This window comes from Homo sapiens, chromosome 14 (assembly GCF_000001405.40).
Source record: "Homo sapiens chromosome 14, GRCh38.p14 Primary Assembly".
In the NCBI taxonomy this organism is placed as follows: Eukaryota; Metazoa; Chordata; class Mammalia; order Primates; family Hominidae; genus Homo; species Homo sapiens.
In genome coordinates this window covers 90309547-90323971 of record NC_000014.9, presented here as the reverse complement: position 1 = coordinate 90323971, position 14425 = coordinate 90309547, and the positions used below count along the sequence as shown (strand labels likewise).

At 40.1% G+C, this 14425-nt stretch overlaps 1 protein-coding gene across 1 annotated transcript in view; it reads left to right on the top strand.

Moving 5' to 3' along the window:
• NRDE2 (NRDE-2, necessary for RNA interference, domain containing) overlaps positions 1 to 14425 on the top strand; it is a 64082-nt gene that overhangs the window by 7970 nt on the left and 41687 nt on the right. The window contains exons 2-4 of the mRNA NM_017970.4: positions 5859 to 5967; positions 7161 to 7394; positions 11429 to 11578. Of these exons, the coding sequence (NP_060440.2) occupies positions 5859 to 5967; positions 7161 to 7394; positions 11429 to 11578 (493 nt within the window). The remainder of the gene's footprint in view (positions 1 to 5858; positions 5968 to 7160; positions 7395 to 11428; positions 11579 to 14425) is intronic.

Below are 14425 nucleotides of genomic sequence, written 5' to 3'. Positions count from 1 at the left end.
AGGGTAGTGTTGGGTTTGTCTTATTCATCGTGCATTCCTAGCACCTAGACCAGTACTTGGCTGTCAGTAAAAAATTACGGAATAAAAAAAAAGAGACTCAGATAAATTATTTTGTTCAGAGTTGCACAACCAAGAAACAGCCAGTTTGAATACAAGTTCTTCTACGTACAGAGCTTGTGTTATAAGCCATGCTACGATATTAGAACATTGGGTTTTGGTCCTTTATATAATACCTTTGGAATTCCTGGGCCTCTTCAAATTGTAGGTTAACTCCATGGAAGGGCTGAATTTGCTCAGGTTCTCTGTAATAATCATCTTAAATGCAGTTCTCAGCCATGTTTGCTGGTGCTTTTTGTATAAATAGGTTTGTACTCCCAGATCCTTTGTTAGACTTACTCATTTTAAAGGAACAAATCTTCTTCCATAATATATACACTACTTTATTTATACACTTGGCCCTAGAAATGTTTTTTGAATTACCATCTCAGGAGGAGCACTTACCTCTGAGTTCACTTAAACAAACTAGTAATCAGTGCTATTTCATTATAATAGAAGGGGAATGGATGTAGAACTTGGATATTTTATCCAATTATAGTTAAAAATATATTTTAAAGTTCAAATCTTTTCATGGCAATTCCTTCCTCCCTCTATGTGTAATAGAATTAAATTAAAGCATTTTTACTAGTGGTAGAGAAATAGGGTTACATAATAAATGTTCATAAAAAGTATTTGAGCTTAAATTATTCAGCGATGATTCATTATATTATTTTCTGTTAAATTACCCTGAAAATTTATACATGCTACATTTCTACCAGACACCTGCCTATTTTTGTTAGGCGGTAGTTCTAAAGTGGTTTTTCTGCCTGATGTTTCCACATTTCTTGGTGTGTATGCATAATACAATGTATGGCAGAGTGTTAATTTCCAGGCACATTCCAACTCGTAATTTACTAACCTGCAAGGACAAAAGCCTTGTCAGCCAGTGGGATTCTCTTTCTTAAACCGTAGGCATTTGGTGTGCTGCTGGTCTTCTCTATAAATGTTACATCTTGCTTAGTATTGGCACAATTATCTATGTACACATTTTATATCTATCAAGTATGTAAATTATGTGAGGATGTAACTGTTGAAAATGACTTTGCAGTCTGATTAATAAAGCATCTTTTCATCTCAGATAACTCTCTCCAGAATTCTGTTGAATTAAAATTGAATTTAACAATGCAAGTTTTTATTTGACAGTGAAGGTTATAATTATAAACTCCATGTGAGCAGAACCTTTCTTGTTCCCCACTATACCCCCAGTACCTAGACCTGTGCCTGGGTGTGTAGTTGGTATTCATTAACTTATGTAATGATTAAATATACATTTACAATGAAGAAAGGAAGAATTACACTAGTTGTACTTTATACCTAGATAATGGATTTTTTTTTGAAGATTTCTAATTTCTTCAGTTCATTTGATTAGGTGTTGGGGGTATAAACATGCAAAGATATGGTGCATATCCTCATTCATTTTATTTATTCAACAGGTATTTATTGAGTCCATTTGCTTTGTACCAAGGCACTGTGCTAGGAGTTGGGAATACAGTAGTGAATAGTCATGGCCCTGCCCTCATGGAGTTTGGGAAGTGACAGGTGGGAGGAGGGGAGGGAGCTAGAAACTGGGATATAAGAGTTGTAAGCTAGTTGGTGTTTATTTTTTCTTTTGCCACTTCTGTAGTATCACAGTAGTCATTACTAATCTGGTCCCTATAAGGATTTGAGTTTTTGACCCTTGGCTTAGAGTATAGTGGGAAGATAATGAGATTACAATGTGAAGATTGCCGTAAGAGCCCCGTGTACTAATTGCAGGGAGACTTTAGGAGAACCAGCCTCCTTAGTTGAGGAAGTGAAGAGAAGCTCCGTGGCGTGGGGTGGAGAGAACTGGATGAAGAGTCACAGATTCAGGTTCAGATGCTTGCCCTTGGCCACAGCTGGGCCTCCAGCTGTTGGTCTATAGGGGAGGAGGTGGTGTCCAGGCTGTGCTCTGAAGAGCCATCTCAGACCCAGCCCCTCCCTCTGAACTCCCAACTAGAGAGCATCCCTGCCTTTTCTGTTCTTCATGTTGGACTTCTGTGGAAGATTCTGTTTGAAGTGAGTTCCTTGGCTAAGAAAAGTTTGGAAGTCCATGGACTAGAGGACTTCCAAAATCTTTCCAAGCCTACCATACAGTGATTATTACTTCTAGTATTCCCTGCATGTGCACTGCTAATATGCTATCAAAAAATAAAGCAAAACAGAGCTTCTTGTCAGATGAAAATACCTTTTGCTCCACAGGAGGTCATTTGATTGGCATGAAGGTCACAGAGGATCCATGATGATTCATGTTCAAAACCCAAGAGCTTTCTTTCTTTTTTTCTTTTCTTTTTTTTTTTTTTTTTTTAATAGAGCTGGGGTCTTGCTTATGTTGCCCAGGCTCGTTTGAACTCCTGGGCTCCAGTGGTCCTCCCTTCTCAGCTTCCCAAAGTGCTAGTATAATAGATATACTGGCCAAGTTTTCTTTCTTTCTGAATTTTTTTCCCCCACAGTAGTGCCATACAGCAAAGCCTCAATTGTATCCTCAAAAGCCTGGCACAGTGGTGGCACGCCTATAGTCCCAGCTGCTTGGGAGGCTGAAGCAGGAGGATCGCTTGAGTGTAGGAGTTTGAGGCCATCCTGGGCAACACAGCAAGACCCCATCTCTCAAATTTAAAAAGCCTTTCTTGTGTCTTCTGAAGGACTTTGAAGAGTCACACACTGTATGTTGTGATGTCTGTATTTCTTTACATTTTCTTCCAGCTGTCATCACTATCTAGAATATTTATATAGAAATATACTGGAATTGTTTGAGAGCATCTTTTCCTGAATACTGTTTGTTCCATCTTTTTCCACTTTTTCATGATAGAATCTGATTTTTGTGGAAATAATTTTGATCTCAGTGAGCAACAGGAACTAGTTTCACATATCTTTTGCCAGGAATTAGGCCCAAATGAAGGGAACCAACCTCAGAAGGAAAAAGAGAGTAGAAGGTTGCATGAGCAGTTGTTTAACATTTACTAGGTATGACATTACTAATTACTTAACCCCTTTGAGTCTTAGTTTCCTCTTCTATAAAATGGTGATCATAATACCTCCCATAGAGCCTTGTTGTGAGGATTAAAAGATGAAAAGGATGTAAGTTCTTAGCCTGGTGTTTGGCCTGCTGTAGGCACTTAAGTTGGAACCTGTCACTTCTTTCCCTTTTTTCTGTGCTGTTTAATATGCCTTTCTTTCTTTGGGATTTTCCTTCCTTCCTCTTTTCCTTCTTTCTCACAAGTATTTGTTGAACACTTACTATAAGCCAGTGATTAAAACAGTACCTGTTGTCAGGAAGCATACATTATGGTATCTCCTCCATACTAAGATGCAAATACTGATATGGTTTGGCTCTGTGTGCCCCTGCAAATCTCATCTTGAATTGTAATCCCTATAATCCCCATGTGTCAAGGGAGGAACTGGTGGGAGGTGATTGGATCCTGGGGGCAGTTCGCCCCATGCTGTTCTCACGATAGTGAGTGAGTTCTCATGAGATCTGATGGTTTTATAAGGGGCTCTTCCCCCTTTGCTCTTTACTCTTTCCTCTGTTGCCACCACATCAAGAAGGTCCTTGCTTCCTCTTCACCTTCCACCATGATTGTAAGTTTCCTGAGGCCTCCCCAGCTATGTGGAACTACGAGTCAATTAAACCTCTTTCCTTTATAAATTACCCAGTCTTGGGTATTTCTTTATAGCAGTGTGAGAACGGACTAATACAGTTACTTAAGGAGCTAGTACCCAGAATAAAGAACTTCTGCAAAGAAGATCTGTGAATGGCTAATAAACACATGAAAAGATGTTCAGCATCATTAGTCATTAGGGAAATGGAAATCAAAACTACAGCAAGATGACACATCATACCCACTAGGGTGACTATAATAAAAAAGATAATATGACAAAAAAGGATATGGAGAAACTGGAATTCTTATACATTGTTATTGGGAATCTAAAATGGTACAGCTACTTTGGAAAACAATCTGGCATTTCCTCAAAATGTTAAATATGAGTTACCATATCACCCAGCAATTCCGCTCCTAGGTATCCACTCAGGAGAAATGAAAATGTGTCCATATGAAAACTTGTACATGAATATTCAGAGTAGTAGTATTCATATTAGCTAAAAAGAAGAAATAACCCAAGTGTTCATCAACTAATGGACAGGTAAAATGTGGTAAATCCATAAAATGAGATATTTGACAATAAAAACGAATGAGGTAGTGATACACACTACAGCATGGATGAACCTTGAAAACATTGTGGTAAGTTACAAAAGACCACGTATATTATATGAGCTTATTTATATTAAATGTCCAAAATAGGCAAATCTAGAGAGATAGAAAGCAGGTTAGTGTTTGGCTAGGGGTGAGGTGGGCGGGGCAGGGAAACAGGAGGTGGGTGATAGGAGTGGACTGCTAATAGGTCTGAGGTTTTGTTTTGGGATGATGAAAATGTTCTAAAGTTATGAAGATGACCACACAACTCTGTAAATATACTAAAAATCTGTTAAATTGTACATGACTAATGGCTGAGTTATGGTATGTAAATTATATCTCAATAAAACTGTTCAAAAATGCAGTCACCCTCCTCTTTTGTACCTTCAACCATTTAACGGGTTCTTCCTCTTTAGGATATGAATAAGCTCTGGCCTCCCATCCAAACAAAACAGGACAAAATACAAACCCCCCGTGGGCTCCCTTGCTGCTGCCATCCCATGTTTTTTTTCTTCCCTTCACAGCTAAGACTCCTAAAAGTTAGAAAATAAGTAATTTAGAAATCGTTCACTGTAGAAAAGTAAGAAATTAGGGGTAAGCAGAAAGAAGAAAATCTTTAGACATTTAATGTAATCACCTAGAGATAATCATCACAGTATTCACATTTATATAATTTTAGCATTAAAAGTTAACATCTTAGGTTTTTATTTCCAAAGAAGAGTACTATTATAAGGAAAAGTTTGTTAAGTTAGTGTACTAAGGTAGAACATGGAATATTTTTTAAAAGATCTTAATCTTCTGTAATAATATTAAGCATGGTGGGCTTTTATGCATGATTTGATTTGCTTTTGTTTTGTTTTGTTTTGTTTGAGATGGAGTCTAACTCTGTCATCCATGCTGGAGTGCAGTGGCGTGATACCGGCTCACTGCAACCTCTGCCTCCCAGGTTCAAGCAATCTCCTGCCTCAGCCTCCCGAGTAGCTGGGATTACAGGCGTGTGCTACCACACCCGGCTAATTTTTTTATTTTTAGTAGAGATGGTTTTTCACCGTGTTGGCCAGGCTGGTGTCAAACTCCCGACCTCAGGTGATCTGCCCTCCTCAGCCTCCCAAAGTGCTGGGATTACAGGCATGAGCCACCATACCCAGCCGATTTGATCTTTTAACTTTTAGGAATTGTCTGAATCAAATTTGAGGTCATAAAAACCTAATGCTTTGGAAGCATTCACACTCATTAGACAGTGTGGATGGATGGAATGCAAAATGCCTTGTTGCCTTTTAGCCCGTACTTGTTACATGGCTTTTGCTTAAGCTGCAGTTTGATATCACGGAAGGATTTTGGTCTAGAATATTTTAGAGGGTATTAAAGCCATGCCCTGTGAAATAAAAATTTCATGGATTCTGTTCAGCTTCTGTGGACTTTGGACTGACTGTTCAAAACGTCTGGCTGGCATTGGCTGTGAATTAGGATGTCAGCTGATAAGATGGATAGATCTCCTGCTTTAGAATCATATTGAACTAATTTCATTGATCTTTTCTCCTTTTGCCTGTGCAGAGTTAGACTGGCTGAGCAACCCAAGCTTTTGTGTTGGATCCATAACGTCCCTGAGCCAACAAACTGAAGCAGCTCCAGCCCATGTTTCTGAAGGGTTACCGCTGACAAGGTAGTTTTTGTTTGACAGATGTGTTTTCGTTTTTGTCAGTTTACTGTCTATAGCTTAGCTGAAATGAAGCTCCTTAGAAAACTCTAATAAAAGAGGTATGTAAAACTCTTACTTAAAGTAATAAGGTGATCTTTGACTATTTTCCCTTACCTCTTGTATTCTTTTTTTTTTCTTTGCTTTGCAGTGGCAAGTACATGACACAGTTAGTGCCTGTAATTAGGCCAAGAGGGAAATGGCATCATTGTGATTCTCGAGTAACTTTACTAGCCTCATTAGTAACCTTTAGAACATCATAATTCAGGTATTTTTTTAGTTACATTTTCAACCCTTTTGTAAAAATAGAGAGGGAGCTTGTATAAGATTAAAAATGGCATCAAAACGTCAGGGAAAGCAAGATGGCACACATCTCTCCTCAGCTGTGAAAGAATTTTGTTTTAGATCATTGAACTGAGAAATAAGCTGTCTTACAAATACAGACTAGATTTCATTAATAGGGTGAATAGGTTGTGAAACCCGGTACTCTAAATGTGTAAGAAGCCTTTGGAAATTGAGAAGAGTTGATGTATGAGAGGAAGTTGGTAGATATTAGATATTTCAGTAATGAGGAAGAAGAGCTCATTGTCATCTCCAAAAACAAGGACCACAATTAAATGTTTTGGTTTTTTTATTAACAACATGTTGACATAATATGTGGCACTGAAAATAAACCTTTTTATAATGATTTTTTTTGAAAATTATTATTATTATTTTTAAAATAAAGATGAGGTCTTGCTACGTTGCCCAGGCTTGTCTCAAACTCCCAAGCACCTTCAGCAGTCCTCTTGCCTTGGCCTCCCAAAGTGCTAGGATTATAGGCATGAGTAACCACACCCAGCCAACCTTTAATAATGTCTTAAAAATACTATATTTGTTAAGTGGTAGGTTACTTTCATTTAAAGATGTATAAATAAGAAAGTATAGGTTTAGAAACTATTAAAATTGGAATTTCTTCACCTGTTATTATTTTAGATCCAATTCCTAAGTCTTGCAGGTGAGGTGTAATCCAGTAAGTTACTGTGTAATATATGGGCAAATAGTAAATCTGTGTGAACATTTATATAGTTCCATCTTAAATATTTGTTGACTTATTTACATAGTATTATTTTTCCTACATCTTTTTAGAAAGTAATTTTAAAGTTGATTTTCCCAAACAGGAGTCATCTGAAATCAGAGTCTTCAGATGAAAGTGACACTAACAAAAAGCTCAAACAAACAAGTAGAAAAAAGAAGAAAGAGAAAAAGAAAAAAAGGAAGCATCAGCATCATAAGAAAACAAAGAGGAAGCATGGGCCGTCGAGTAGCAGCAGGTCTGAGACAGACACCGATTCTGAAAAGGACAAACCTTCCAGAGGCGTTGGAGGCAGTAAAAAGGAATCTGAGGAACCGAAGTAGGTTGCTGTTCTCAAGCACCTATGATATTTTAAGTCTTGAGTTTTTCTCCCTTAATTGTTGCCGCAAATTAGATATTTGAATAACCATTTAGTCACTCAGTCGGAAGAGAGCTCTACCATTATATCAGCTTAAAAAAGAGAAGGAGAAAAATTAGGGACACGATTTTATTTGAGAAATGTTATTTAGACACAGTAATGATTGTGTGAATCTCTTTTAGACAAAAAGTCTTTGGGATTTTCAAAAGATGGCAGATGTGCCACAGTGGGTCTGTGAGTCAGTGCCGTTATCACATAGATAACGGTTCCCTCTCTGAGGGCCGTGGGTCTCCACACTCTGGGTAGGAGAAACATCTTCTTTCTCTGCCTTGATATATCTTTCATTCAGTCACTCCTATCAACTCCTGTGTGTATACATGATCACACACACTTTAAGATTAACGTAGCACTTAAATAATTGTTACATTTGTCCTTTTCCTTTTCTTTTTCATATTTGTTTAAGACCACTATGTCGAAGGCAGTGGAAAACAGCTCATGATTACAGTGTTTCCATTCCTTGGGGGCTTTATTTCTCCCATATTTTACTCTGCTTTCTTTCTTTTTTTTTTTTTTTTTTTTTTGAGACGGGGTTTCACTCCAGTTGCCCACGCTGGAGTGCAGTGGTGCGATCTCAGCTCACCACAACCTTTACCTCCTGGGTTCAGGCGATTGTCCTGCCTCAGCCTCCCGAGTAGCTGGGATTACAGGCGTCTGCCACCACGCCTGGCTAATTTTTTGTATTTTTAGTAGAGATGGCATTTCACCATGTTGGCCAGGCAGGTCTTGAACTCCTGACCTCAGGTGATCCACCTGCCTCAGCCTCCCAAAGTGCTGGGATTACAGGCATGAGCCACTGTGGCCTACTCTGCTTTCTACCTTGAGCATATTGTTCAATTCATTCTACAGAATGGCCACAGCATAGGTGCTCAATACAGCCTTTTCTCTGTGCCTAGTTGAATGTCTTCCTAAGTAGAGGGGTATTTGCGTGTAGGTGGGACAGGTGGTATATGGTGAAACTACCTGAATTATTGCTCATTTAACTTTCTCCTTTATTTGCTCATATGGTCTAGAAGGGAGAAAACTTAGGTACCTGTCTAGAACATCTCTAAAAAAGAAATAGTGCTGTTGAGGTTTTTGCAACTCTTCAGGAATTTTTGTTTCCTTTTTTTAGACAGAGTCTCATTCTATCACCCAGGCTGGAGTGCAGTGGTACGATCTTGCCTCACTGCAACCTCCGCCTCCCGGGTTCAAGCGATTCTCATGCCTCAGCCTCCCAAGTAGCTGGGACTACAGGCATGCATCACCACACCCAGCTAATTTTTGTAACCCAAGCTTTTTTTTTTTTTTTTTTTTTTTTTTTTTGAGACAGAGTATTGCTCTGTCGGCCAGGCTGGAGTACAGTGGCACGATCTCGGCTCACTGCAACCTCTGCCTCCCGGGCTCAAGCAAGTCTCCTGCCTCAGCCTCCCAAGTAGCTAGGATTACAGGCATGTGCCACCACGCCCGGCTAATTTTTGTGTTTTTAGTAGAGACGGGGTTTTTCCATGTTGGCCAGGCTGGTCTCGATCTCCGATCTCCTGACCTCAGGTAATCCACCCGCCTCTGCCTCCCAAAGTGCTGGGATTACAGCCATGAGCCACCGCACCCAGCCCCCAAGCTTGCTCTTTAGAGGAAAAAATAAAGCAGTCCGGCAAAAAGGTTCTGAATTTGACTGAATTTTTGAGGGTAGGAATCAGGCCTGTCTTGCTTACCACCATATTCCCACAGCACGTGGTGCACAGGGCCCATTACAGAGTAAGCACTGAATTTGTTTTTGTTACATGAATGAATGAATATGTTATTGGTGTCCTTACCTTTTACTGTGTCTTTAAAGCAAGCTACTTTAATTGTTACGTCTTCCCAAAACTCAACTTCTAGCTACTTGTCCTTTTTTATAGCTGGGGAAAATGAGTTTTAAAGGATTTCCTGAAACCACACAGGAACTATCTTTAGAACTTGAAGGATAGTTAATTTCAGCCTATGCTTAATCATGTCAGGGAATCTTTACAGCCTCTTGATAGTTTTATGATCCAGATAGCATTTTTAAGTTTATTGATATTTTATAGAATATCCTTATTAAGATTGTTCTTGTCCTTCTCTTTTACTGTCTTGTTATTAACTTATGTATTCTCTTCCCAAGAAGGTGACCTGGAAGAATTATTTATTTCCACATAGACAAGGACTACAATATTAGTGAATTGTGAGAGTCTTTCTGTGATGTCAGGAAAGTGGGTTCGTGAGGGTAGCAGACCCTATGAGACTCTGTTTCAGGGTGATGACAAATGACTTCCCCAGAGGCCACAGCTACTAATTGACCTTGAGTTTCTGGGATGAGCTTTCCCTCACCTTCAGGTGGAGGCAGCTCCTTCCTTGCACACAGCCCAGACTACCATATCCTGCTTCCTTAGCTCAGTACCGCCGAGGGGAGAGGAAAGGGCCTGTTGACTCCTCAGGGGCGGTCTGCAGCTGGCTTCTCCTTTTTTTCTCCCAGTTGGCTTTCCATTTATTTCTCAAATGCATCAATCAGTTTGCAGTAGGCTCTCCATCTTTTCATTGCCCGTTATGGTTTTTGTAGACAGGAAGCCCTCTGCAGTTGGGAAATGTGTTAAAATCTCCATACATTAACCTGAGGCTCATCATTCAACAACTATTTATTGAATAGCTACTTAGTGTTCCTGAAATGCCATTCCCTTATATTCCCTGCCAAGAATAATTAAGAAGCCTCCAAAATCTTTATTTGTACCTGGGCAGAGCTGAAAAGCAGAGATGGAACAACAGTTAATGGCTGTTTTGACTACTTTGTCACCTTCTTGTGTCAGCAGCATTATGAACTGATTTTCTTTAGAGGAAGAAGATGTTAGATGCCAGAGAAACCTTCCCTCCCTCTCACTTAACGCCCCGGGAGTGGTTCCTTTTGGATCTGAGCTGAAAGTCTGCCAGCCTACACATTGGTTCAGAGAGATACATTAGGGTCTTGTCTTCAGGGGAGCCTCGTGATTCTGCCCTTTATTTACGAGGTCCAGATGTATAAGCAAAACAGCGAATACAGAGTCCAGACCATAAAAATGAGGCTGAGCCGGGCACGGTGGCTCACACCTGTAATCCCAGCACTTTGGCAGGCCGAGGCGGGTGGATCATGAGGTCAGGAGATCGAGACCACCCTGGCTAACATGGTGAAACCCCATGTCTACCAAAAATACAAAAAATTAGCCAGGTGTGGTGGTGGGCACCTGTAGTCCCAGCTACTCAGGAGGCTGAGGCAGGAGAATGGCGTGAATCCGGGAGGCGGAGCTTGCAGTGAGCGGAGATGGCGCCACTGCACTCCAGCCTGGGTGACAGAGCGAGACTCCGTCTCAAAAAAAAAAAAAAAAAAAAAAAAATGAGGCTGAGACCAAGCCTAAGTGATGTTGGAGGCTGAGCAGTTCAGAACCATGGCTTTTTAGAGAAGTTTTGAGTTGGAATAAGTATCTAGGCACTTTCAAGTAAGTTAGGCGAAGTTAGGGCAGCACACTTGATTATTGGTGTTGTCACCTTTGGAGGTGTGGGAGTTCCCTCTGCCTAGCCCTCTAAGGTGCCTCAGAGCAGGAATACTTTTTAGGAAAAGACCTTGTTTATAAATATATTTGAAATTCAGGTTACAGTAATCTAAATGAAATATTTTAAAAGAACTGCTGTATACCTATATTCTTCAGGTTAATTTTTGAGATAGGAAGACTTCTTTTGTTGGTAGAGTGTCATTTAGTGGTGACAGGTTTTGCTTTATTTTTTAAAACTCTTTGCCCAGAGCTAGAGTCCTCTTCCATCTCTGTGGCACATGTACATTTAATGTGCTTAGGTGTGTTTGATGCCATGTGGAGTTTGAAGTGTTTAACTCTCATATTGCTGAAAATGCCACCTGCGTCACTGGAAGATTTTTTAAAGTGCCTCTCCCTTCTTCTTCTTCCTTTGTCCCACAGTCAAGGAAATAATGCTGCAGCTGATACTGGACATCGCTTTGTTTGGCTTGAGGACATTCAGGCTGTGACGGGAGAAACCTTCAGAACAGATAAGAAACCAGATCCTGCGAACTGGGAGTACAAGTCTCTCTACCGAGGGGATATAGCAAGGTAGTCACCTTGTTTTCCCCCAGTTTTCACTGTAGGAAAGTGACTTTTTTCTCCTCGGAACTCTCTTGGCACTGTCTGCCTGCCTGTTTCTCTCTTTCATCAGTTCTGTTGGGTTTTATTTATTGCATTGTTCAGGCACATGTCTCATCTCCTATTCTAAAATGAAGGCTTAACACTTGAAGTCAAGTCAGATTAATCTTATTTATCCCTGGTGCTTTGCATAGTGCCTGGCACAGTAGGCGTTCAATAAGTATTAGTTGAATAAATGAATCCAAAAGTACCTTGTAATAATTAATTGTGACAGACTATCTGGTAACCATTTGGTCTAACCTATATGTCATTTTTTAAAGTTGGAAAGCTTTCATTTATCCACTCCCCACATCTGTCATTTAAAAAATGACATTTAGTGGTAAGGACTTTTTCAAAATGTTTCTGGCATACACCATCAGATAATCATAAAAATAGATGATATTTGCTTTAGTAATGAGTTTGAACTTTTCCCCTCTAATTTGGCAATCAAAAATATTTGAGTACTTACTAAACCCTTTAGACCAAACTTGTCCAACCCAAATTTGTAAACTTTCTTAAAACATTATGACTTTTTTTGTGATTTTTTTTTTTAACTCATCAGCTATCATTAGTATTAGTGTATTTTATGTGTGGCCCAAGACAGTTCTTCATCCAGTGGGGCCCAGGGAAACCAAAAGATTGGATACTGTATTAGCCCATTTTCATACTATTATGAAGAAATACCTGAGACTGGGTAAATTATAAAGAAAAAGAATTTTAATGGACTCACAGTTCCACGTGGTTGAGGAGACCTCGCAATCATGGTGGAAGGTGGAGAAGGAGCAAAGGCACGTCTTACATGGTGGCTGCTCTTTATAAAACCAGGGGAACTGCCCTTTATAAAACCATCAGATCTCGTGACACTCACTGTCACGAGAACAGCACAGGAAAGACCTGCCCCCATGATTCAATTACCTCCCACCAAGCCCCTCCCACAACACGTGGGGATTATGGGAACTACAATTCAAGATGAGATTTGGGTGGGGACAGAGCCAAACCATATCTGATACCCCTGCTTTAGACATTTAGTACTTTGTGAGAAACCGTGGGGAACATAAAGAACAATAACACACAGTCTGTTCCCAGATAGTTTACAGATAATGAGAATTGAAGATAGAGAATCATCAATCTTAGAATATAAAGCCAAGAGGAGATCTTGAAGATTATTATTCTTTATAGACTAATGACTTTGTGAAATAAATGTCCATTTCCATTACTTTGCTGTATCTCCAAATTTTAATCCTATTGTCACTCATCCTGACATTATACCTCACCACATAAGCAATTCCAACTAAAATTTCCTTCCCAATGAGTTAATAACAGTTGTTTTATTCAGTACATATTTAATCTACCTACTGTCAATGGAAACTTTATGGTTGAGTATAAATGACTATTATATTTTCAATGTATTCATATATTTTTGAGTTATCTTAATGCTCCTTGAGGTATTACTTGGTTTTCCATGCCACCACAGGGTACTACCCCAGATGTGGTAGATTCCCAGTAAAAGATGGGCAGCTGGGCTAGGCATGGTGGCTCACGCCTGTCATCCCAGCACTTTGGGATCACTTGAGGTCAGGAGTTCAAGACCAGCCTGGCCAACGTGGTGAAACCCCATCTCTACTGAAAATACAAAAATTAGCTGGGCATGTTGTCACATGCCTGTAATCCCAGCTGCTAGGGGAGTGAGGCAGGATGATTGCTTGAACCTGGGAGATGGAGGTTGCAGTGAGCCAAGATTGTGCCACTGCACTCCAGGCTGGGCAACAGAGCAAGACTCTGTCTCAAAAAAAAAAAAAAAAAGGGCAGTCAACAAACAGAGATTGGACATGAGGTAGTGGCTGTGGTGCTGTGTGCGTTATTTCACTTAAGTTAGCCTGTCTGATCCTCACAGCTGCTCTGTGAGGAGGACGAGGAGAACCCTCTTCATTTTACAAATGAGGAAAAGGAATCGCAGAGAGGTTAAGTAACTGCGCAAGATCATGCAGCCAGGCAGCAGCAAGGTTGGGATTTGAACCCGCGTGTCTTTGACTTCACATTTCAAATGTTCTTTCACCACCCATGCAGAAAGATGAGACAGGGTGTGTGGTAGGACGTTTTCTAGATTTGGAAACAGAGGACTCTGGTTCTCTTTGTGACTTTGCCATTTACTAGCAATAAAGTCCCAGGCAAATCACCTGACCTGTCTGAGCCTCTGTTGCTTCATTTGTAAATTGGAAATTGTAACTTCTGCCATGCCTTGCGCTCAAGTATCAGAATATTTGATATGGAATTGGAAATTGGTGTGCAAATATAAAGGGTTAGTATTTATTAATAGGTGAAAGGAGGGGAGTGTACTAACAAAGAGTGGCTCTTGAGCTTCTGCTAATGAATGGCACAGGCTTAGGGAGAGAGTAATTGGAAACAGCCTTATTAATCTAAACTGCAAGGATACCACTGCTAAAGGGCTTAGGGCATTGTTATTTCCTAGCCATTTGGTAAAGTTTACACAAGACAAATCTTGCCTGGATTAGTAGCTATATAACTGTTAATGTCCAGGTCTGGGAAGATGTTGATCCCATGGCAGTCTGAGCTGGTCAGAGGACAGTGGGAATACTGTCACTGAGCAATGGGCTTAATGCCTCAAGTGCATAGAAGTCAATACTATGGCACCAGCTTTTGAGAGAAGCAACAGCTTTATTGCAAGGTCAATAGGAGGCAGCACTTGAATCTGTCTCCCCCAGATGGAGTCTGTGTGTTTTATAGGAAGAGAGTAACTGTGAGGGAGATAGGAAAGTG